General features: G+C 50.7%; 1 pseudogene, besides 14 other annotated features; it reads right to left on the bottom strand.

Annotated features, from left to right (window-relative positions):
* Positions 3,241 to 4,005: an enhancer, noted in NCBI's record as "H3K27ac-H3K4me1 hESC enhancer chr20:30185829-30186593 (GRCh37/hg19 assembly coordinates)". NCBI's record gives its function as "activates a minimal SCP1, AML or CMV promoter by ChIP-STARR-seq in naive and primed H9 embryonic stem cells {active_cell/tissue: H9 hESC(naive and primed)}" and the evidence as "EXISTENCE:reporter gene assay evidence [ECO:0000049][PMID:30033119]".
* Positions 4,006 to 4,771: an enhancer, noted in NCBI's record as "H3K27ac-H3K4me1 hESC enhancer chr20:30185063-30185828 (GRCh37/hg19 assembly coordinates)". NCBI's record gives its function as "activates a minimal SCP1, AML or CMV promoter by ChIP-STARR-seq in naive H9 embryonic stem cells {active_cell/tissue: H9 hESC(naive)}" and the evidence as "EXISTENCE:reporter gene assay evidence [ECO:0000049][PMID:30033119]".
* Positions 5,537 to 6,302: an enhancer, noted in NCBI's record as "OCT4-NANOG-H3K27ac-H3K4me1 hESC enhancer chr20:30183532-30184297 (GRCh37/hg19 assembly coordinates)". NCBI's record gives its function as "activates a minimal SCP1, AML or CMV promoter by ChIP-STARR-seq in primed H9 embryonic stem cells {active_cell/tissue: H9 hESC(primed)}" and the evidence as "EXISTENCE:reporter gene assay evidence [ECO:0000049][PMID:30033119]".
* Positions 5,537 to 7,067: a biological region, named in NCBI's record as "OCT4-NANOG-H3K27ac-H3K4me1 hESC enhancers GRCh37_chr20:30182767-30183531 and GRCh37_chr20:30183532-30184297".
* Positions 6,071 to 6,365: a silencer, noted in NCBI's record as "tiled region #405; HepG2 Repressive non-DNase unmatched - State 1:Tss, and K562 Repressive non-DNase unmatched - State 5:Enh". NCBI's record gives its function as "represses a minimal TATA promoter and a strong SV40 promoter by Sharpr-MPRA in HepG2 and K562 cells {active_cell/tissue: HepG2 | K562}" and the evidence as "EXISTENCE:reporter gene assay evidence [ECO:0000049][PMID:27701403]".
* Positions 6,303 to 7,067: an enhancer, noted in NCBI's record as "OCT4-NANOG-H3K27ac-H3K4me1 hESC enhancer chr20:30182767-30183531 (GRCh37/hg19 assembly coordinates)". NCBI's record gives its function as "activates a minimal SCP1, AML or CMV promoter by ChIP-STARR-seq in naive H9 embryonic stem cells {active_cell/tissue: H9 hESC(naive)}" and the evidence as "EXISTENCE:reporter gene assay evidence [ECO:0000049][PMID:30033119]".
* Positions 7,068 to 7,833: an enhancer, noted in NCBI's record as "H3K27ac-H3K4me1 hESC enhancer chr20:30182001-30182766 (GRCh37/hg19 assembly coordinates)". NCBI's record gives its function as "activates a minimal SCP1, AML or CMV promoter by ChIP-STARR-seq in primed H9 embryonic stem cells {active_cell/tissue: H9 hESC(primed)}" and the evidence as "EXISTENCE:reporter gene assay evidence [ECO:0000049][PMID:30033119]".
* Positions 8,600 to 9,365: an enhancer, noted in NCBI's record as "H3K27ac-H3K4me1 hESC enhancer chr20:30180469-30181234 (GRCh37/hg19 assembly coordinates)". NCBI's record gives its function as "activates a minimal SCP1, AML or CMV promoter by ChIP-STARR-seq in primed H9 embryonic stem cells {active_cell/tissue: H9 hESC(primed)}" and the evidence as "EXISTENCE:reporter gene assay evidence [ECO:0000049][PMID:30033119]".
* Positions 10,527 to 11,027: an enhancer, noted in NCBI's record as "NANOG-H3K27ac hESC enhancer chr20:30178807-30179307 (GRCh37/hg19 assembly coordinates)". NCBI's record gives its function as "activates a minimal SCP1, AML or CMV promoter by ChIP-STARR-seq in naive and primed H9 embryonic stem cells {active_cell/tissue: H9 hESC(naive and primed)}" and the evidence as "EXISTENCE:reporter gene assay evidence [ECO:0000049][PMID:30033119]".
* Positions 11,028 to 11,528: an enhancer, noted in NCBI's record as "NANOG-H3K27ac hESC enhancer chr20:30178306-30178806 (GRCh37/hg19 assembly coordinates)". NCBI's record gives its function as "activates a minimal SCP1, AML or CMV promoter by ChIP-STARR-seq in primed H9 embryonic stem cells {active_cell/tissue: H9 hESC(primed)}" and the evidence as "EXISTENCE:reporter gene assay evidence [ECO:0000049][PMID:30033119]".
* Positions 14,322 to 14,823: an enhancer, noted in NCBI's record as "H3K27ac-H3K4me1 hESC enhancer chr20:30175011-30175512 (GRCh37/hg19 assembly coordinates)". NCBI's record gives its function as "activates a minimal SCP1, AML or CMV promoter by ChIP-STARR-seq in naive H9 embryonic stem cells {active_cell/tissue: H9 hESC(naive)}" and the evidence as "EXISTENCE:reporter gene assay evidence [ECO:0000049][PMID:30033119]".
* Positions 15,830 to 16,333: an enhancer, noted in NCBI's record as "OCT4-NANOG-H3K27ac hESC enhancer chr20:30173501-30174004 (GRCh37/hg19 assembly coordinates)". NCBI's record gives its function as "activates a minimal SCP1, AML or CMV promoter by ChIP-STARR-seq in naive and primed H9 embryonic stem cells {active_cell/tissue: H9 hESC(naive and primed)}" and the evidence as "EXISTENCE:reporter gene assay evidence [ECO:0000049][PMID:30033119]".
* Positions 16,011 to 16,305: a silencer, noted in NCBI's record as "tiled region #836; HepG2 Repressive non-DNase unmatched - State 23:Low". NCBI's record gives its function as "represses a minimal TATA promoter and a strong SV40 promoter by Sharpr-MPRA in HepG2 cells {active_cell/tissue: HepG2}" and the evidence as "EXISTENCE:reporter gene assay evidence [ECO:0000049][PMID:27701403]".
* Positions 16,334 to 16,836: an enhancer, noted in NCBI's record as "OCT4-NANOG-H3K27ac hESC enhancer chr20:30172998-30173500 (GRCh37/hg19 assembly coordinates)". NCBI's record gives its function as "activates a minimal SCP1, AML or CMV promoter by ChIP-STARR-seq in naive and primed H9 embryonic stem cells {active_cell/tissue: H9 hESC(naive and primed)}" and the evidence as "EXISTENCE:reporter gene assay evidence [ECO:0000049][PMID:30033119]".
* Positions 20,839 to 20,942, bottom strand: RNU6-384P (RNA, U6 small nuclear 384, pseudogene; annotated as a pseudogene).

The following is a 23,070-nucleotide window of genomic DNA, read 5'->3' as shown; positions in this document are numbered from 1 at the left end:
CTGACCTTGTGATCTCTCCACCTCAGACTCCCAAAGTACTGGGATTACAGGCGTGAGCCACAGTGCCTGGCCTTCAACTGTGAATTAATTGATCCAGCAATTCTGTTTACTGCAATGAATTCCAGAGAAACCAGCTTGGCCAACATAGCAAAACCCAGTCTCTACTAAAAATACAAAAATTAGCCAGGTGTGGTGGTGGGCGCCTGTAGTCCCAAGTACCTGGGAGGCTGAGGCAGGAGAATCATTTGAACCCAGGAGGTGGAGGTTGCAGAGAGCCGAGACCAAGCCACTGCACTCCAGCCTGGGCGACAGAGTGAGATTCTGATTCAAAAAAATAAAAATAAGAGAGAAAATTATGCTGTAGAAATTAATTCAGGGCCAGGCGCAGTGGCTCACGCCTGTAATCCCAGCAGTTTGTAAGGCCAAGCCAGGTGGATAACCTGAGGTCAGGAGTTCGAGATCAATCTGGCCAACATGGTGAAACCTCATCTCTACTAAAAATAGAAAAATTAGCAGGGCGTGGTGGTGCACACCTGTAATCCCAGCTACTTGGGAGGCTAAGGCAAGAGAATTTCATGAACCCAAGAAGTGGAGATTGCAGTGAGCCAAGATGCCACCACGGCATTCCAGCCTGGGTGACAAAGCAAGACCCTGTCTCAAAATATAAATACATAAAATAAATAAAATGACATAGTATTTGTATAAAACCTATGCATATCCTTCTATCCACTTTTTTTTTTTTTTGAGACGGAATCTCGCTCTGTCACCCAGGCTAGAGTGCAATGGCACGATCTCCGCTCACTGCAACCTCTACCTCCCAGATTCAAGCAATTCTCCTGCCTCAGCCTCGCGAGTAGCTGGGATTACAGGTGCCCACCACCACACCTGGCTAATTTTTGTATTTTTAGTAGAGATGGGATTTCGCCACATTAGCCAGGCTGGTCTCGAACTCCTGACCTCAGGTTATCCGCCCTTTTCCACTTCCCAAAAATGCTACACTTGCAGGCGTGAGTCACCGCGCCCGGTCTTTTTTTGTTTTTGTTTTTTGTTTTTTGAGACACAGTCTCGCTCTGTCCCCAAGGCTGGAGTGCAATGGCACGGTCTCGGCTCACTGCAACCTCCGCCTCCCGGGTTCATGACATTCTCCTGCCTCAGCCTCCTGAGTAGCTGGGACTACAGGTGCCCGCCACCACGCCTGGCTAATGTTTTTCTTTTCTTCTTTTTTTTTTTTTTGAGATGCAGTCTCGCTCTGTCGCCCAGGCTGGAGTGCAGTGGTACGATCTCAGCTCACTGCAAGCTCTGCCTCCTGGGTTCACGCCATTCTCCTGCCTCAGCCTCCCGAGTAGCTGGGACTACAGGCACGCGCCACCACGCCCGGCTAATTTTTTGTATTTTTAGTAGAGACAGGGTTTCACCGTGTTAGCTAGGATGGTCTCGATCTCCTGACCTCGTGATCTGCCCACCTCGGCCTCCCAAAGTGCTGGTATTACAGGCATGAGCCACTGCACCTGGCCTTCTTTCTTTTTCTTTTTTGTTTTTTGAGACAGAGCCTCACTCAAGTCGCCCAGGCTGGAGTGCAGTGGCATGATCTCAGCTCACTGCAACCTCCGCCTCCCAGGTTCAAGCAATTCTCTGCCTCAGCCTCCCGAGTAGCTGGGATTACAGGTGCCCGCCACCATGCTCAGCTAATTTTTGTATTTTTTTTTTTAGTAGAGACAGGGTTTCACCATCTTGGCCAGGCTGGTCTTGAACTCCTGACCTTGTGATCCACCTGCCTCGGCCTCCCAAAGTGCTGAGATTACAGGAGTGAGCCACTGTGCCCGGCCTTTTTTCTTTTTATTTTTTGAGACGGAGTCTCGCTCTGTTCCCAGGCTGGAGTACAGTGGTGCGATCTTGGCTCACTGCAACCTCTGCCTTCCAGGTTCAAGCGATTCTCCTGCATCAGCCTCCTGAGTAGCTGGGATTATAGGGGCCTGCCACCACACCTGGCTAATTTTTGTATTTTTCGTAGAGATGGGGTTTTGCCACATTGGCCAGGCTGGTGGTCTCCAACTCCTGACCTCAGGTGGTGATCCACCCGCCTCTGCCTCCCAAAGTGCTAGGATTACAGGCGTGAGCCACCGGGCCGGCGGTCATTCCTTCTTATTGCTAAGTAGTGTTCCATTATATGGATATACCACCATTTGTTTATCCAGACATTTGGTGAGGGGCATTTGGATTGTTCGTAGTTTTTGGTTAGTAAAATAAAACTGCTATGAACTTTTTTTTTTTTTTGAGACAGAGTCTCGCTCTGTCGTCCAGGCTGGAGTGCAGTGGCGAGATTGCGGCTCACTGCAAGCTCCGCCTCCTGGGTTCACGCCATTCTCCTGCCTCAGCCTCCCGAGTAGCTGGGACTACAAGCGCCTGCCACCGCGCACGGCTAATTTTTTTTTTTTTTTTGTATTTTTAGTAGAGATGGGGTTTCACCGTGTTAGCCAGGATGGTCTCGATCTCGATCTCCTGACCTCGTGATCCGCCTGCCTCAGCCTCCCAAGGTGCTGGGATTACAGGGGTGAGCCACTGTGCCTGGCCATGAACTCTTGTATACAGGTGTTTATGTGAATGTATACTCAGTCTTGCTCTGTCGTCCAGCCTGGAGTGCAGTGGCACAATCTTGGCTCACTGTAACCTCCGCCTCCTGGGTTCAAGCGATTCTCCCACCTCAGCCTCTGGAGTAGCTGGGATTACAGGCGCCCACCATCACGACTGGCTAAGTTTTGTATTTTCAATAGAGATGGAGTTTCACCATGTTGGCCAGGCTGATCTTGAACTCCTGACCTCAAGTGATCTGCCCACCTCGGCCTCCCAAAGTACTGGCATTACAGGCGTGAGCCACCACAACTGGCCGTATTTGTTTAACTTTACAAAAGAACTGCCAAACTCACTGGGCACAGTGCATGCCTGTAATCCCAGCACTTTGTGTGGCCGAGGTAGGCAGAATGCCTGAGCTCAGGTATTCAAGACCAGCATGGGCAAGATGGTGAAACCCCATCTCTTACAAAAAGTACAAAAATTAGCCAGATGTGGTGGTGCACACATGTAGTCCCAGCTACTTGGGAGGTTGAGGCAGGAGGATTGCTTCAGCCTGGGAGGTTGAGGCAGGAGGATTGCTTCAGCCTGGGAGGTTGAGGCTACAATGAGCCAAGATCATCGTGCCACTACACTCCACCCTGGGCAACAGAGTAAAACCCTGCCTCCAAACAAAACAAAAAAACCCAGCCAAACTGTTTTCCAAAGGTGGTTGTATCATTTTATATTCCTATCAACAGTATTTGAGAGGTCCAGTTCTTCCACATCCTCTCTAACACTCCAACAGTTGGTATGTTGTATAACTACAGTACAATATCACAACCAGAATTCAGGTGAAATTCAGTTTTCTTTTTTGTTTTTTGGAGATGGAGTTTCGCTCTTGTTGCCCAGGCTGGAGTGCAATGGCATTAATCTTGGCTCACTGCAACCTTTGCCTCCCGGGTTCAAGCGATTCTCCTGCCTCAGCCTCCCAAGTAGCTGGGATTACTGGCACGCGCCACCACGCCTGGCTAATTTTTTGTATTTAGTAGAGACAGGGTTTTACCATGTTGGTCAGGCGGGTCTTGAACTCCTGACCTTAGATGATCCATCCGCCTCGGCCTCCCAAAGTGCCGGATTACAGGCGTGAGCTACTACGCGTGGCCTTTTTTTTTTTTTTTTTGGAGACAGAGTGCTCTGTCGCCCAGGCTGGAGTGCAGTGGTGCGATCTCGGCTCACTGCCACCTCCGCCTCCCAGATTCGAGCAATTGTCCTGCCTGTCGAGTAGCTAGGATTACAGGCACACGCCACCACGCCTGGTTAATTTTTTGTATTTTTAGTAGAAATGGGGTTTTGCCATGTTGGCCAGGCTGGTCTTGAACTCTTGACTGCAGATGATCTGCCCGCCTTGGCCTCCCAAGGTGCTGGGATTACAGGCATGAACTACCGCGCATGGCATGAAATTCAGTTTTCACCCAATTTATATGCACTAATTTTTGTGTGTGTTTTCAGTTCTATGCAATTTTTTCTTCTTGGAGACAGGCTCTTTCTCTGTCCACCAGGCTGAGTACAGTGGTGCAATCACGGCTCACCACAGCCTCGACCTCCTGGGGTCAAGCGATCCTCCTATTTAGCCTCCCAAGTATCTGGGACTACTGGCATGTACCACCACACCTGGCTAATTTTTTATTTTTTTGTAGAGAAGGGGTCTTACTATGTTGCCCCAGGCTGGTTTAGAACTCCTGGACTCAAGTGATCCTTCTTCTTTGGCCTCCCAAACTGCTGGGATTTACAGGCATGAGCCACCACACCTGGCCTTATCTTTTACATGTTTAAGGCCTGACAAGGAGTTTAAATAAAGATTGCCTGCTTATCTTGTTGTCAGATGGGCATTTTTCTGGCCTTGTTGGTAGTGTGAATTGAGTGTGCATTTTCTTCCCAGTCCTCCTTTCCTGAGTCACCTTAGGAAAACCGACACTTCTGGTGGCCAGGAAGTTCGGAGGGCTCCTTAAATGAACCCCCATATTCCCAACCCAGCATTCATGGTCATAGTCTCTCAGGAAGCCCTTTTCACATACCTGGCACATCTGATTTCACAACTGCTCCCTGGAGCTGGTGCAGCTGTATTATTGTAATGCCCCATTTCACAGATGGGAATATTGAGCCCCAGAGAGAAAAAGGGACCAGCCCTTCACTGCCTCCAGTCCTGGCTGTGCCATTGACAAACTGGGCCTCAGTTTCCTCATCCATAAATTGGAGCTAATGCTCATCCCTCTTCGTAGGGTGGTTGTGAGAGTGAAATGAGCCATACCAGGAGCCAACTGCAGCACCTGGTGATAAAAGGGAGTGCACTTTCCTTAGGATTTTTCTGTCACCACACCTCCTTCTCTGCCTTCCAGGGTGCCTCCTCTGGCCTCCAGAGCTCCAGGCAAATGGCTTACATTTACTAAGAGTTTCCTCAATGCCAGGCCTGGTTCTAAAGCATTAATTGTGTGCTTAGAAGGGAAGGGACCACGGAGGTCCTGTTCCCTGCTGTCACGCAGAGCCTCATGCAGCACCTGGCATGTGGGAAGTGCTCAACGAATATTTGTTGAATTAGAAATAAACAGCCTGGGAGCACTTTGGGAGGCTGAGGTGGGTGGTTCACCTGAGGTCAAGAGTTTGAGACCAGCCTGGCCAACATGGTGAAACCCCATCTCCACTAAAAATATGAAAAAATTAGCCAGGCCTGGTGGCGGGAGCCTGTAGTCCCAGCTACTACAGCTACTAGGGAGGCTGAGGCAGGAGAATCGCTCGAACCCGGGAGGCAGAGGTTGCAGTGAGCTGAGATGGTGCCACTGCATTCCAGCCTGGGCAACAGAGTGAGACTGCGTCTCAAAAAATTAAAAAAAAAAAAAAAAAAAAAAAAAAAAAAAGAACAGCCTGTGGAACTGTGGTAGTAATATCATGTCCCCTTCACAGCTGAGGCCATGAGACCCAGAGAGGTTGAGTGACTTGTTTCAGATCACAAAGCTGGGAGGTGGCATTGAACCCAGGCACTCTGTCCTGAGGCAGGGGCTGTGTGGGGCTGCAGGGGGCCGTGTGCCTGGACGTCTACAGTGCACAGTTCCTCCTCGTTGACGCACTGTTCTCGTCCAGAGTGTTCTCCACTGCCCCTCCTAGGAGTCTTGGCCTTGTAGGCTCCAGGACGGTCCTGCCCTGTGCCACGTGACCCACTCTGGCCCTGGCTCGGCAGCTGCTCCCCAGATGTGCCCACAGTGCAATCTTCCAGCCGCCAGGCCGGCGCCTCTGGGCTGGGACTGCCGGAGCTGTGGGGGAGAGACCTTTGGCTCTGGCTGTCCCCACACCCCCAACCCTTGTAACAGGAGACTACAGGCCCCCCCACTACCACCAGAACCAGCACATCTCACGGAGAATAAGATCCAAACTCCTCCCCTGCCCACTACCCAACTGGGCCCCTTCCCTTTCTCTCACCAGCCCAGAGGCCTCCCTCCTTAAACTATTAATAGCTCTGTCCTGCCTCAGGGCCCTTGCCCTTGCTGTTACTTGTTCCTAGAACACTGATCAGCCCCAGGTCTTTGCCAGACTCCTCATTCTTCAAGTCTCAGGTCAAATGTCGCCTCCCCAGAGGCCTTCTCAGATCCCCCTAGGCTACTTTCTTTTACATTCTCCTGCTCTTATTCACTGAATTCATTACCATCAGAAATGATCTTTGTTTTCTTGTGTATTTGCCATTCCTTGCCTCCTCCTCCCTGCCCAGGCTATGGGCTCTAAGAGAGCAGGAACCACGGCTCCTTTGGTCACTGCTGTGTCCCAGAGCTGAACTAGGGCCTGGCCCAGAGAAGGTAAGCAACTTGCTCAAGGTCACACAGCGTACTACTTGAAATACAGTAATGTTTAGAGTAGTGTCCTTTGAAGAATAAATTGTTGCCTTATGGTTCAGTGTACTCCTGTGCAAAATGGGTACAAAATATGAACTTAACCTGCAGAGTTATGACACTTCTGCACTTAGCACATGGTAAGCATTCAGAAATGGAAACCACAATAGACCGTTTTGTTTCCATTCTGGGGTGTCATTTTTCCATCCCCCAAACCCGGCAGGAGGCTGTGGGTGGGCACATAAAGGGTGTGGGGCTTCAGGCTCTCTCCCTTTTAATAGGAATGAAACCCCTCAGTTTTCTCATCCACAAAATGGGGACTGTCCCCAGGCCCTCCCTCCTAAGGATTCTGTGCTGTGCCCCTGGGTTGTTTCAGGGAGTGTGGGGGTCCAGGCCTGTGTCCACCTTTCACCTCCCATCCTGTTTTCCAGAGAGGCCCCAGAACAATGGACGGGAGGCTGGAGCCTACCAGTCTGGGCCCCTCCCAAGTCCCCTGCCGATGGAGGGGGGTGGGGTTTTCCTGTGGCTGGACAAAGGGCCATTGCTGCCCAGGGTCTCCAGCAGCCAAAGGCAAGGGCAGAGCCAAGGCTCAGGGAGCTCCCATCTTAGGTTACTCAGCATAGGCCAAACCTGCAGGGTTACACAAACACACTGCTTCGCACACCCACAGAGCAATATACAAATGCACACACCCACACGCCCAACGTGGCATTTATATGTACGACTGACACAACAGACAAACCCAACAGCCACACACCAATAGACACAACCTGCCAAATGCACAACGCACAACAGTACACCATAATATACAACCAACACACTGACCTCCGCGCACACTACCGAAACACCAAATCTGCATAACCAACACACCAAAAAATAGAGACCAAGGAGGAAATGTCTCAAAACACCCCATTATCACTCCTAACAGAACCACATGCAATGAATCCTCTCAACAAACAGGACACACAGACACATGCACCCACACTACAACATTGCAAACACTACACACACTTACATCTATACAGTATTACTCACGCCAAAACACCTGGGACTCCAAGATGCCAACACACATGCCCGCAGCCTTAGAGAAGTCCACTGCCTGCAAAAGGATAAACTGGCTTCCTGCAGGCACCCACTCCCACAGTGCACAGACCCAACCAACACCCACCTGCACCAGGCCAGAGACCTCCCACCACAGCCCTTCTAGAGCACACAGTCCCCTTACTCTCCACACATACACAATTCAGAATCCTGCAGAAAGGCCAGGTGCGGTGGCTCACGCCTGTAATCCCGGCACTTTGGGAGGCCAAGGCAGGCAGATTATATGAGGTCGGAAGTTCGAGACCAGCCTGGCCCACATGGTGAAACTCCCTCTCTACTAAAAATACGAAAATTAGCCAGGCGTGGTGGTGCACGCCTGTAACTCCATCTGCTCGGGAGGCTGAGGCAGGATAATTGCTTGAACCCAGGAGATGGAGGTTGCAGTGAGACGAGATCGTGCCACTGCACTGCAGCCTGGGCAACAGAGCAAGACATCGTCTCAAAAAAAAAAAAAAAATCCTGCATCAGCCCCAAGGACACACAACCACACCCATCCAGGGCTCAGGCCTCTCTCTCCTCTTGCACCCATGAATGCAGGCCTGGGCCCTGCCCAGGGTGGAGGCGTGGGAGCTGACCTGACCCTGGCAGCCTGGGAGGCTCATGCCACCAGTCAGGAGTGCCCTGAGGCCAACTGGCTACACCCTGGGCAAAGCTCAGCAGAGGCCACTGCCCCTAGCTGCAAGGACCTCTGAGGTGAGAGTGGGGAGACTGGGCAAGAGGTCTCTGGGCCTCGGTGGTGTCCCCATATGCCCACTGGGTGATGGACGGAAGGCCCCAGAGGCCCCCTCACAGAAGCAGTGGCCCTCCTCTCTGGCACCCAGCCTGACCCTCCTTTGACTCACCTGCCTCCCATATAACTGGCTTCCCTCACTGCTCCAGGGCCCGGAACCCAGGAACCAGCTGAGGTTGAATGTCTCAGGACCCCGCCCAGCTCCCTGCCCAGCTCCCTGCCCACCTCACAGAGCCTGAGGCAACCACCACCCTCCTGGCTCAACCCAACCCTGAGTACCCAGTCACCAGGGGGCGGCGCCTCCAGCTGCACCCTCACCTCAGGCCGCTTCAGAGCTGTACTCCTCAAATACTATGACTCATGATAATGTACGTTTTCTTCTAAAAAGTATTTTTTTTTTCTGGCTGATGCAAAAGCAACGATGTGCTGTTTAAAAGGAAGCTATAGGCCAGGTGCGGTGACTCATGCCTGTGATCCCAGCATTTTGGGAGGCCAAGGCAGGCTTTGAGTTCAGGAGTTCAAGACCAGCCTGGCCAACATGGTGAAACTCTGTCTCTACTGAAAATACAAAAAAAGGCCGGGTGCAGTGGCTCATGCCTGTAATCCCAGCACTTTGGGAGGCCGAGGCGGGCGGATCACGACGTCAGGAGATCAAGACCATCCTGGCTAGCATGGTGAAACCCCGTCTCTACTAAAAACATATAAAAAATTAGACAGGCGTGGTGGCGGGCGCCTGTAGTCCCAGCTACTCAGGAGGCTGAGACAGGAGAATGGCGTGAACCCAGGAGGCGGAGCTTGCAGTGAGCCAAGATTGCACCACTGCACTCCAGCCTGGGCGACAGAGCAAGACTCCATCTCAAAAAAAAAAAAAAAAATTAGCTAGGCGTGGTGGTTCGCGCCTGTAGTCCCAGCTACTCAGGAGGCTGAGGCAAAATAATCGCTTGAACCAGGAAGGTGGAGGTTACAGTAAACCGAGATCGTGCCACGGCACTCCAGCCTGGGCGACAGAGCAAGACTTGGTCTCAAAAAAAAAGAGTTTATGTGATTTAAGTCTGGGCGCGGTGGCTAATGCCTGTAATACCAACACTTGAAGAGGCTGAGGTGGGAGGATGACTTGAGGCCGGGAATTCAAGACCAGCGTGGGCAACATAGCAAGACCTCTCCATAAATAAATTAATAATAAAAATTAAAAATTAAGGCCCGGCGCGGTGGCTCACGTCTGTAATCCCAGCACTTTGGGAGGCCGTGACGGGTGGATCACGAGGTCAGGAGATCGAGACCATCCTGGCTAACACGGTGAAACCCTCTCTCTACTAAAAATACAAAAAATTAGCCAGGTGTGGTGGCGGGCGCCTGTAGTCCCAGCTACTCAGGAGGCTGAGGCAGGAGAATGGCGTGAACCCAGGAGGTGGAGCTTGCAGTGAGGCAAGATCGCGCCACTGCACTCCAGCCTAGGCGACAGAGTGAGACTCTGTCTCAGAAAAAAAAAAAAAAAATTAAAAAAAAATATCAGCTGGGCCTGGTGGCACATGCCTGTAGTGCTAGCTACTGGGGAGGTTGAGATGGGAAGATTCCTTAAGTCCAGGAGTTGACGCCGCAGTGAACCCCGATCTTGCCATTGCACTCCTGCCTGGGCAACAGAGGGAGACCGTATTAAAAAAAAAAAAAAGAGGGGCTGGGTGAGGTGGCTCACACCTGTAATCCCAGCACTTTGGGAAGCCAAGGCAGGAGGATCACTTGAGGCCAGGAGTTCAAGACCAGCCTGGGCAACACAGCAAGACCCTATCTCTACAAAAAAAAATTTTGTTAAAGCTGGGGCCGGGGCAGTAGCTCACGCCTGTAATCCCAACACTTTGGGAGGCCGAGGAGGGCAGATCACCTGAGGTCTGGAGTTTGAGACCAGCCTGGCCAACATGGTGAAACCGTCTCTGCTAAAAATACAAAAATTAGCCAGGTGTGGTGGAGAGTGCTTGTAATCCCAGCTACTCAGGAGACTGAGGCAGGAGAATTGCTTGAACCCAGGAGGTGGAGGTTGCAGTGAACTGAGATTGCGCCACTGCACTCCAGCGTGGGTGAGATTCTGTTTCAAAAAAAAAAAAGAAGGAAAAGAAAAGAAAAAAACCACACAGGTTCCTGGCAGTCAGCATTCAGTAGGCACTAGTTATTATTACAGTGACTATAATACCTCTAATTGGGTATATCCTCCACCACTGAAATACAGAGCTTTAGAATCATTAAATAATAAATGGTTATTGTACACTTGCTTTGTGCTAGGCAAAGCATGGAAAGAACATGACCTAGGCTCATGCTCTTCAGAGCTACATTTAGTTGAGGGTACCCAAATGGGAATAAACACCACCAGCCATGTGGTGCTTCCTTGCTGCTGTATCCAGATGCTGAGGACACAGAGGTGTGGTGGGTAGGTGAGCTACTGCCATCCCAAGGGCGTACTTTGTAGGAATTAGAGAAAGGAACTCCTTACTTCAAGTAGATGGAGCCTTCCACAAAAGTACTATTTGTAGCAACTTTGTGTTCCTTTCAGCCTGTTCAATGGCCCTGCAAATGTGACCTCTTCCTGGGGAGCTCACAGTCCGCTGGGGAAGACAGACCATAATGAGACAGTCACCCCTCAAGTTCCCAGTGCTGTGATGGGAAAGCACGCGAGGTTATGGGAAGCTGCCAGTCAGCTAAGGTAGACTGGGGAGGCCTTCCTGAAGGAGGAGGTGATAGTCCAGCTGAGACAGACAAAGTGAGGAAGGGTTAGGCCGATGCTCCTGAGCCCCAGCATTTGCATATCTGGGATGTCAGCAGGAGGCAACTGCTGTGTCACCCTGCAAAAAACATTAAAGTCTGGCTTGGCACGTGGCTCACACCAATAATTCCAGCACTTTGGGAGGCCAAGGTGGAAGGATGACTTGAACGCAGGATTTTGAGACCAGACTGGGTAATACAGTGAGATCTCATCTCCAGAAAATATTTTAAAGGGCTGGGCGTGGTGGCTCATACCTGTAATCCCAGCACTTTGGGAGGCCAAGGCAGGTGGATCACCTGAGGTCAGGAGTTCAAGACCAGCCTGGCCTACATGGTGAAACCCAGTCTCTACTAAAAATACAAAAATTAGACGGGCATAGTGGCAGGCACCTGTAATCCCAGCTACCCGGGAGGCTGAGGCAGGAGAATCGCTTGAACCCGGGAAGCGGAGTTTGCGGTGAGCCGAGATCGCGCCATTGCACTCCAGCTTGGGTGACAAGAGCGAAACTCCGTCTCAAAAAAAAAAAAGAAAATAGTTTAAGGAAATAATTAGACAGGCATGATGGCATGTCTGTAGTCCCAGCTACCAGGGAGGCTGAGGCAGGAGGATCACTTGAGCCTGGGAGGTTGAGGCTGCAGTGAGCAAAGATGCTGCCACTGCACTTCAGCCTGGGTGACAAAGTGACATGCTGTCTCAAAAAATAAAATTAAAATAAAGGCCTGTCTTCAAAAAGAAAAAAATTAATAAAACAAAAGTTTAAAGTCTGATAATATAGAAAATGTTGGTGAAGCCGGGCATAGTGGCTCACGCCTGTAATCCTAGCACTTTGGGAGGCCGAGGCGGGCAGATCATGAGGTCAGGAGATTGAGACCATCCTGGCTAACACGGTGAAACCCTCTCTCTATTAAAAATACAAAAAAATTAGCTGGGTGTGGCGGCGGGCGCCTGTGGTCCCAGCTACTCGGGAGGCTGAGGCAGGAGAATGGCGTGAACCCAGGAGGCGGAGCTTGCAGTGAGCCGAGATCGCACCACTGCACTCCAGCCTGGGCGACAGAGCGAGACTCCATCTCAAAGAAAAAAAAAATGTTGGTGAGCATGTGGGAAAATAACACTCATCCAGTGCTGGTGGGTGTGTAAACTGGTATGACCACTTGGGAACTCAATTTGGCAATATCCACCAAAAGTGAACATTTGAAAACACCCTATGAGCCAGTGATTCACTCCCACGGACATACCCTGGGAGGCCTGCACACAAGAAAGCAGATGTGGGCAAGAATGTGACAGCCATTTCTACAACAACAACAAATTGAAAACTAGGCCGGTTGCAAGTGGCTCATGCCTGTAACCCCAGCATTTTGGGAGGCCGAGATGGGAGGATCAGTTAAGGCCAGGAGTTCAAGACCAGCCAGGTCAACATAGCGAGACTCCATGTCTATTTTAATTAAAAAAAAAAAAAACCCAAAAATTGAAAACTACTTACTTGTCCAATGACAAGAAAACAGGGAAATGGTGATGGAATCGTACCCAGCATTGAACAGGAATGAGCTACGTCTGTGTGTATTCTGCTAGATACCTGCATAATGTTGCTTAGGGAAAATGCAGAATGATTTTTTTAGAAGTATAAATTTAAAAAAACACACAATGCTAATATATTTACATGTAGTAAAAGTAACAAGAAACATAACCCGGAAGAAAACACCCAAGTCATTATATTAATAGTAATTGGGGGATTGCATGGTGGGTGGGGTGGCAAATAGTCTTAGAGAAAAGGGAAGAGGGCCCTGGTTAAAAGAAGGCTAGTGGCTCGGTTTGCTGGCTCATGCCTGTAATCCCAGCACTTTGGGAGGCCAAGGCAGGAGGATCACTTGAGCCCAGGACTTCCAGACCAGCCTGGGCAATATAGTGAGACCTGTCTCTTCAAAACAAAAATTAGCTGCTCCTGGTGATGGGCACCTCTAGTCCCAGCTACTGTGGAGGCTGCAGTGGGCAGATCCCTTGAGCCCTGGAGTTCAAGGCTGCAGTGAGCTGTGATCACACCACTGCACCACTCCAGCCTGGGTGACAGAGTGAGGCTCTGTCTCAAACAAACAAAAAACACAAAAAGGCCGGGGGCGATGGCTCATGCCTGTAATCCCAGCTTTATGGGAGGCTGAGGCGGGCGGATCATGAGGTCAAGAGATTGAAACCATCCTGGACAACATGGTGAAACTCCGTCTCTACTAAAAATACAAAAATTAGCTGGGTGTGGTGGCATGCGCTTGTAGTCCCAGCTACTGGGGAGGACTACGGGGCAGGGGAATCGCCTGAACCCGGGAGGCAGAGGTTGCAGTGAGCCGAGATTGCGCCATTGCACTCTAGCCTGGGGACAGAGCGAGACTCTGTCTCAAAACAAAACAAAACAAAACAAAACAAAGCAAAACAAAACAAAAAACACAAAAAGACAGGAGCACTATCTGTAAAGGTTTGTTCTTTGGAGGAGGAGAAATAGGCGCAAATACAGCTGACAGTTGTCAGTCCTGGGTGGTGGGAATGTGGTATTAGGAACATAAATCGCTATATTTCTCGGTACTTTTTATATTTCACAAAATCAAGAGTTAAGCAGGCAATGAGGACAAGGGGTATTCCAGGCTGAGGGGCCAACGCAGTTGGGAGTTTCTATTTTCCCACGTCCACACCAGCATTTTATATTATCAGACGTTAGCATTTTTTGCAGGGTGACGTGACAGTTGTCTCCTGCACTTTGAAGGTTTGGGGCTTAGGATGGAGACGGCGCGTCAGTGAGCCCGAAGTGTTCGGTGCAGGAGGAAGAGCGGGTGTTGGGCGGCGGACAGCGGGGGCACGCGGGCCCTTCTGGGGAGAAGCAGGAGGGGCGGCGGCCGCTCTTGGACCCAGCAGCCCCGGGCAGCGACTTTGGGTCCAGCCGCGCGGGGAGAGGCCGTGCACCCCGACTTTGTTCGGGGGCGCACCCGCCTGAAAGACATTGCTGGGCGCCGGTCCCGCCCTTTGGGGACGCCTCGGCGCTGGACTCGCCGCGCCTGGCAGCCGCTCGCGGCAGATGGGCCGCCCCGGCTTCCCGCACTCGGCCCGTGGGAACCAGGCCCGGCGGGCGGGGGCGAGGGCGCCAGGAACCGCCCCAGGGGAGCGGCGCGCAGATGGGGCGGGGGCCGGTGAGGCGGCAGATGGGTGCGAGGCCGGCCTGCGGCCGCGCCACAAAAGCGAAGGGCAGATGTTCGCGGCCAGATGTTCCAGGAGCGGGGGGAGCCTGGGAAAAACCAGCTTGCCTTCCCTCCGCCCTTCCCCAGCGGCAGCTCTGGGCTGGCCGGGGGAAGGTGCGGCTGGCGTGGCCGCCGCCCGGCACCACTAGGACGGTGGGAGCTGAGGTCAGGGTCTAAGGACATCTCAGGTGAAGCTTGTACCTCTAGCCTCCTCCACCACACCAGCCGTCCCACCTTCTTGCTGGAGAGTACTAAAAATGACATCTCAGGAATCTGGTCTGAACCCCCCTGCCCTATGTGACCGCCTTCCCCCCACCCCTCTTCTTCTGCACCCCGCTGTCTGCCACACCACCATGAGCATAGTGGCAGCAGTGTTCGCTGATACTTATAAAGCTCTTACCAGCGCTTTAAAGCATTATCTTATTTAATTCTTACAGCCACTCTGTGCTGAAGGTCGTCTCTATTCTGATTTAAGCAGCCGAGACAGAATGAAAAAGTTAAAAAAAAAAAAAAAATCAATCCGCCGGGTGCGGTGGCTCACGCCTGTAATCCCAGCATTTTGGAAGGCCAAGGCGGGCGGATCACGAGCTCAGGAGTTCGACACCAGCCTGGCCAACACGGTAAAACCCCGTCACTACTAAAAATATAAAAAATAGCTGGGCGTAGGCCGGGCGCGGTGACTGACGCCTGTAATCCCAGCACTTTCGGAGGCCGATGCGGCCGGATCACGAGGTCAGGAGATCGAGACCATCCTGGCTAACACGGTGAAACACCGTCTCTATAAAAATACAAAAAATTAGCCGGGCGTGGTGGTGGCGGGCGCCTGTAGTCCCAGCTACCCGGGAAGCTGAGGCAGGAGAATGGCGTGAACCCGGGAGGCGGAGCTTGCAGTGAGAAGACATCACGCCATTGTACTCCAGCCTGGGCGACAGAGCGAGTCTCCGTCTCACAAAAAAAAAAAAAAAAAAAAAAGCTGGGCGTGGTGGCGGGCACCTGTAATCCCAGCTACTCTGGAGGCTGAGGCAGAAGAATCGTTTGAACCCGGAGGCTGAGGTTGCAGTGAGCCGAGATCTCGCCATTGCACTCCAGCCTGGGCGACAGGGTGAGACTCCGTCTCAAAAAAAAATCCCTTTCAGGTGAGGGACTATGAACAGGGAGCTCCTGAGTGATAAGTAACTTGTCCACGGTGGCAGCGAGTACCAGGCAGGGCTGGGGCTGGAGTCCAGGATTCTGGAAGCTGTGGAGCATCTCTTGCTTGCCAGGCTGTGGGCCAGCGCTGGCATATTACAGTGAGCAGAATATTGTTGTTGTACTAATCTATTATGACTGGTGTGAACCCAAAAGCATCTGAAACAGGTCTTAATCAATTTAGAAAGTTTATTTTGGCCTAGCACAGTGGCTCACACCTGTAATAGTAGCACTTTAGGAGGCCAAAGCAGATGGATTGCTTGGGCCTAGGAGTTTGAGACCAGCCTGGGCAACACAAGGAGACCCTGTCTCTACATTGAAAAAATAAAACAAACAAACAAACAAAAACGGCTGGGCTTGGTGGTTCACGCCTGTAATCCCAGCACTTTGGGAGATCGAGGCGGATGGATCACCTGGCGTCAGGAGTTTGAGACCAGCCTGGCCAACATGGTGAAACCCCATCTCTACTAAAAATACAAACATTAGCTGGGCATGGTGGTTCGCGCCTGTCATCCCAGCAACTTGGGAATCTGGGGCAGGAGAATCATTTGAACCCAGGAGGCGGAGGTTGCAGTGAGCCGAGATTGCACCACTGCACTCCAGCCTGGGCGACAGAGCAAGACTCCGTCTCAAAAAAAAAAAAAGAACTTTTGTTTTGCCGAGGTTAAGGATGTACCCATGACACAGCCTCAGGAGTGTGCCCAGGGTTGTAGAAGGGAATGTCTGGGTTACAATAAGTGGTTGTGGCGACCAAGGTTTTATTATGCAGATGAAACCTCCAGGTGGCAGGTTTAAGTAAGAATAGACTGTAAATGTTTCTTATCAGACTTAACGTCTGTGTTGATGTTAATGCTAGTCAGCTTTTCCTGAATTCCAAAAGGAAGGAGGGTGTAATGAGACAAGTTCGACGCTTCCCCCTCACCCGCTTCCATCATGGCCTAAACTCATTTTTCAAATTCATTTTGGAATGCTCTTGGCAGAGAGGAGGGGTCCGTTCAGATGGTTGGGGGCCCCTAGCATTTTATTTTTGGTTTTACGCTTGTATATAGTGAACAGAATCAACAGAAGTCTCAGTCTTGTGCGGTTTTTATTCTGTGGGGGACAACACAGTAAGTGCAATATCTGTGATCTCATCTGGTGATAAAAATTAGGCGCCAGGCGGGGTGGCTCACTCCTGTAATCCCAGCACTTTGGGAGGCCCAGGCGGGAGGATCACCTGAGGTTGGGAGTTCAAGACCAGCCTGGCCAACATGGTGAAACCCTGTCTCTACTAAATACAAAAATTAGCCGGGTGTGGTGGCAGGCGCCTGTAATCCAAGCTACTCAGGGCCTGAGGCAGGAGAATCGCTTGAACCCAGGAGGCAGAGGTAGCAGTGAGCTGAAATCACACCACTGCACTCCAGCCTGGGCAACAGAGCCAGACTCCGTCACAAAAAAAAAAAAAAAAAAAAAAAATTTAGCTACCTCTCCCATCCAGAAATGGGAGTCAAGGCTTCCGATTTCCCAGGCTCAATTTATCCTCCCGCCTCAGCTTCTTGAGGAACTGGGACTATAGGCTTGCACTATCACACCTGGCTAGTTTTTTGTTTTTTTTTGTTTTGTTTTGTTTTTTTGAGATGTTGTCTTGCTCTTTGCCCAGGCTGGAGTGCAGTAGCACAATCTAAGCTCACTGCAACCTCTGCCTCCTGGGTTCAACCGATTCTCTTGCTTCAGCCTCCCAAGTAGCTGGGATTACAGGTGTGCCTCACGACGTCTGGCTAATTTTGTATTTTTAGTAGAGATGGGGTTTCACCGTGTTGGCCAGGCTGGTCTCGAACTCCTGACCTCAAGTGATCCACCCACCTCAGTCTCCCAAAGTGCTAGGATTACAGGTGTGAGCCACCACGCCTGGCCAATATTTGTATTTTTTTGTAGAAACGGAGTTTCACTATGTTGCCCAGGCTGGTCTTGGACTTCTGGCCTCAAGAGGTCCTCCTTCCTTGGCCTCCCAAAGCGTTGGAATTACATGTGTGAGCCACCACACCTAGCCTGCAATTTTCTATTCTCATGTGACCACCTATTAGTATTCATGTCTCATCACCATCAGTGTTTTTTGTTGTTTTTAACTGACCCTGTATGGAAACACCACTTGTGTCTGAAGTGGAGCATGGTGGCATGCTCCTGTAGCTCCAGCTACTTTGGAGGCTGAGGCCAAGGATCACTTGAGCCCAGGAGTTCTAGGCCAGCCTAGACCCAGTTTCTTAAAAAAACAAACAAACAAACAAAATTACATATGTATTTGCTTGTATCTCACTAGGAAACTGATGACTGTGGCTGCCTCCAATAGGGAAGAAGGGAGACATCCGTTGTTTTTCAGCGTTGTATCAGGAACATGTATTAGGTAATACATGTTCAAAAATGAAATGAAATTAAAATATAAAGGGGAGAGGTCTGGATCCAGAAAAGATTAAAAAAAGCCCTATGGCCCTGGGGTTTTTACCCACTCTGAGATTGTGTAGTTTGGAGACATCTGTGAACAACAAGTGGGCAAAACTCACCTGGACCCATGATTAATTAGGTCTAATAGTTGCTCAGTCATAGCCACCTGGAAGTGGGATGGGAGTGCAGTGGGGGAGGGATATGGGAAGTGGGGACCTTGGAGGTAGTGATTGCCTTATCATTGTACTGGATGCTCAGAAACAGGAGCATTTCTAGAATTTACCTTTTTTTTTTTGAAATGCAGTCTCGCACTGTCGCCCGGGCTGGAGTACAGTGGCACAATCTTGGCACACTGCAACCTCCACCTCCCGGGTTCAAGCGATTCTTCTGCCTCAGCCTCCTGAGTAGCTGGGATTACAGGCACATGCCACCACGCCTGGCTAATTTTTTGTATTTTTAGTAGAGACGGGGTTTCACCATGTTAGCCAGGATGGTCTTGATTTCCTGACCTCGTGATCCACCCGCCTTGGCCTCCCAAAGTGCTGGGATCACAGGTGTGAGCCACCGCGCCCAGCCCCCTTTTTTTTCTTTAACAGGTTTATTGAGAGATGATTTACATACCATACAATTCACCCATTTAAATTGTACAACTCAGATGTGTGTGGTGGCTCACACCTGTAATCCCAGCACTTTGGGAGGCCGAGGTGGGCAGATCACTTAGGTTAAGAGTTCGAGACCAGCCTGGCTTACTTGGCAAAACCCCGTCGCTACTAAAAATATAAAAATTAGTCGGATATGGTGGTACACATCTAAAATCCCAGCTAATTTTTTTTTTTTTTGAGACGGAGTCTCACTCTGTTGCTAGGCTGGAGTGCATTGGTGTGATCTAGGCTCACTGCAACCTCTGCCTCTGGGGTTCAAGCAAGTCTCCTCCTGCCTCAGCCTCCTGAGTAGATGGGAATATAGGCACGCACCACCACTCCCGGCTAATTTTTGTATTTTTAGTAGAGACAGGGTTTCACCATGTTGGCCAGGATGGTCTCGATCTCTTGACCTCGTGATCTGCCCGCCTCGGCCTCCCAACATGCTGGGATTATAGGCCTTGAGCCACTGCGCCGGGCCCTAACTAATTTTTGTATATATATATATATATATATATATATATATATATATATATATATTTTTTTTTTTTTGAGACAGGGTCTCACCCTGTTATCCAGGCTGGAGCGCAGTGGTGCAATCTTGGTTCACTGTAACCTCTGCCTCCCAGATTCAAGCGATTCTCCTGCCTCAGCCTCCTGAGTAGCTGGAATTAAAAGCACCCTCCAACACGCCCAGTTAATTTTTGTACTTTTAGTAGAGATGGGGTTTCACCATGTTCGCCAGGCTGGTCTTGAACTCCTGACCTCAGGTGATCTACCTGCTGTGGCCTCCCAAAGTGCTGGGATTACAGGCATGAGCCCTGCAGCCTGGCCAATTTTTTTTTTTTTTTTGAGACGGAGTCTCGTTCTGTTGCCAGGCTGGAGTGCAGTGGCGCGATCTTGGCTCACTGCAACCTCCGCTTCCTGGTTCAAGGGATTCTCCTGCCTCAGCCTCCCAAGTAGCTGGGACTACAGGTGCATGCCACCACACCCAGCTAATTTTTCTATTTTTAGTACAGATTGGGTTTCACCATGTTGGCCAGGATGGTCTCCATCTCTTGACCTCATGATCTGCCTGCCTCAGCCTCCCAAAGTGCTGGGATTACAGACGGAAGCCACCATGCCCAGCCCAATTTTTGTATTTTTTTAGAGACAGGTGTTGCCCAGGCTGGTCTCAAGTTACTGGCCTCAAGAAATCCACCTGCTTCCACCCCCAAAGTTCTGGGATTATACGTGTGAGCCACCTTGTCCGGCCTTATTATTGTTTATTATTATTATTTTGTACTTTGTGTAGAGAGGGGATCTCGCTATGTTGCCTAGGCTAGTCTCGAACTCCTGGGTTCAAGCAATCCTCCCGCTTGAACTTTGGCCTCTCAAAGTGTCAGAATTACAGGCATGAGCCTGTTTATTATTAATTAGTCATTATCAAGTTCATTATTATTGATGGCTTTTTTTTTTTTTTTGAGATGGAGTCTCGCTCTGTTGCCCAGGCTAGAGTGTAATGGGGTGATCTCGGCTCACTGCAAGCTCTGCCTCCCGGGTTCAAGCGATTCTCCTGCCTCAGATCCTGAGTAGCTGGGATTACAGGCGCGCGCCACCACGCCTGGCTAATTTTTGTATTTTTAGTAGAGATGGGAGTTTCACCATTTTGGCAAGGCTGGTCTCGAACTCCTGACCTCATGATCCGCCCACCTTGGCCTCCCAAGGTGCTGGGATTACAGGCGTGAGCCACCGCGCCCGGCCTTTTGCTCTCTTTGTCTGGCAATCCACAGTTCCTGAGCGTGTCCTTACTACCATTCCCATTAGAATCCTCCCAACCACCTTGCAGTTTGAGGATGAGGAAACAGGGTGCTGAGGATGGACTGAGAGTCCGAGGACATGGGTGCCCTCGCTGACTGACTCTTGCGACCAGGGTGCAAATGGGGCTGGGGGCTGGGAAGAGACGGACTGCCCTTCCCCTCCACCCCCTCACTCCCTTCCCTGGGAAAATCCAACAGGTGGTGGGGCCGCGGCGCTGTGGGCCATTGTGTGGGCCCTGGGAGGGTCGCAGGGCCCAGTGTGTGTCTGGGAGAAGATGGATGCCTTCATTACCATGTGAATCCTGGGAAAGCACTGCCGAGGCTGGGTGGTGGGTGGGCGTGGGCCGCAGGTCGGGGGGCTTGGTGTTCTCAGGCCCAGACCACACAGCGGCTGGGAAGTGGGTCTGGTGGAATCCTGAGAGACCCATTAAAAAACACCACCACCACCACCACCCAAAAAAACCAGAACAGATCATGGGGCTTCCCCTCTTATTTAATTTCTTATTTTAGGACATTTCTATCCTGTGGGGCTTAAAAGAGACACAGATTGGGAAAACAAAATTATTTTATTTTTTATTGAAGGCTTCACGAATTTGCGTGTCATTCTTGCTCGGGGGCAATGCCAATCTCTGTCTAGTTCCAATTTTAGTATATGTGCTGCCAAAGTGAGCACCAAAACCAATTTTATTAAGGAAGTAAAAACTCGTTTTTTGCTTTTTGTTTTTTTTTTGCTTTCTCTGTTGCAACTTTCCCACAGATTGTGCTGCGCATTTGGGCCTGAACAGAAAAATCTGAGGCTTACGCAGCATGCGTACAATCAGCATCTCTGTGGAGGCATTCCCAGCAGCACTCTCCCCGAGTGGCTCTTCCGCTCATGTAAATACGTCCTAGGTCACTCTGGATGATTAGCAAATAGCTGCTGAGCAAATTGGAAGAAGCTGGTTTTAGGCTTGAAAAACAAAAGCTATTATCAATTTGGCCAGAGCAGAGAAGACTGGCTGGTGTTTGGGAAGGGGGCAGGTAGCAGGGAGATAATAACAAGGACCACTGACTATATATCTCCATTTTACAAATGAGGAAACAGCCTTTGAATCAGTTGGCCAAACCACACAGGGAGAGAATGGCACAGAATTCCAAACCCTGTTTCTCTAATTCCAGAGTCTATGCTCTTTCTGGGGTTTCTCCATGAGGCCAGAAGAGAGGAAGCCGCAGAGAGGCCGCTGTAGAAACAGACTGTGCGGGGTCTCATGCCTGCAATCCCAGCACTCTGGGAGGCTGAGGAAGGAGGACTGCTTGAGGATAGGAGTTTGAGACCAGCCTGGGCAATACAGTGAGATCCCGTCTCTACAAAAATATTAAAAAATTAGCCTGGCCGGACGTTGTGGCTCACGCCTGTAAGCCCAGCACTTTGGGAGGCCAAGGCAGGCGCATCACTTGAGGTCAGAAATTGGAGACCAGCCTGGCCAACATGGTGAAACCCCGTCCCTACTAAAAATACAAAAAATTAACCGGGCGTGGTGGCGTGCACCTGTAATCCCAGCTACTTGGGAGGCTGTGGCAGGAGAATCGCTTGAACCCGGGAGGCGGAGGTTGCAGTGAGCCGAAATTGCGCAACTGCACTCCACCCTGGGCAACAGAGGCAGACACTGTCTCAAAAAAAAAAAAAAAAAAAAAAAAAAAATTAGCCAGGCCAGTGGTGTACACATGTAGTTCTAGCTACTTGGGAGGCTGAGGTGGGAGGATTGCTTGAGACCAGGAGCTTGAGAGCTTGAGGCTGCAGTGAGCTGTGACTGCACCACTGGGGGATGACCCAGGCAAAGGGAAGCATGAACCAAAGAAACAAGACCTGAAACACACACACACACACACACACACACACGCAGAAAGGGCTGGGCACAGTGGCTCACACCAGTAATCCTAGCACTTTGGGAGGCCGAGGCGGGCAGATCACCTGAGGTCGGGAGTTCGAGACCAGCCTGACCAACATGGAGAAACCCCCTCTCTACTAAAAATACAAAATTAGCCGAGCGTGGTGGTGCATGCCTGTAATCCCAGCTACTCGGGAGGCTGAAGCAGGAGAATCGCTTGAACCTGGGATGCGGAGGTTACGGTGAGCCGAGATCCCGCTGTTCCACTCCAGCCTGGGCAACAACGGCGAAGCTCCGTCTCAAAAAACAAAAAAGAAAAAAAACAAGCAAGCAAGCAGATGGGACAGCACACATTCACAAACTCGCACAGGCAATGCCCTTGCAAAAGCCCTTTTATCAACCCAAACACTTCCACATGATCTGTCTCTCTTATACCCACACACCAATTACACACACCCACCCACCAATGCAGGCACTTGCTCACAAATGTTCTCAGAAACACATACTCCTAAACATACTTAGACACAAACACACAATCATGCATTCACAATCACAACCATATAGAAACCCATCTACAGCACTGGTCCACGTAAGATTTCAACTTTACCATTACCCACAACTTGTAGAAACCCAAACATTAGCATAGACTCTCCTTTTTTTTTTTGAGACAGTCTCATTTTGTCGCCCAGGCTGGAATGCAGTGGTGCGATCTCAGTTCACTGCAACCTCCGCCTCCCAGGTTCAAGTGATTCTCCTGCCTCAGCCTCCTGAGTAGATGGCGAGAGGTGAGTGTGCTGGCAGCCCTCCCTCGCTCTTGGGGCTTCCTTGGCCTCGGCGCCCACTCTGGCTGCGCTTGAGGAGCCCTTCAGCCCGCCGCTGCACTGTGGAAGCCCCTTCCTGGGATGGCCGAGGCCGGAGCCGGCTCCCTCAGCC

The sequence above is a fragment of the Homo sapiens genome, chromosome 20 (assembly GCF_000001405.40).
Source record: "Homo sapiens chromosome 20, GRCh38.p14 Primary Assembly".
Taxonomy (NCBI): domain Eukaryota; kingdom Metazoa; phylum Chordata; class Mammalia; order Primates; family Hominidae; genus Homo; species Homo sapiens.
This window is presented reverse-complemented; position numbering and strand designations above follow the sequence as displayed.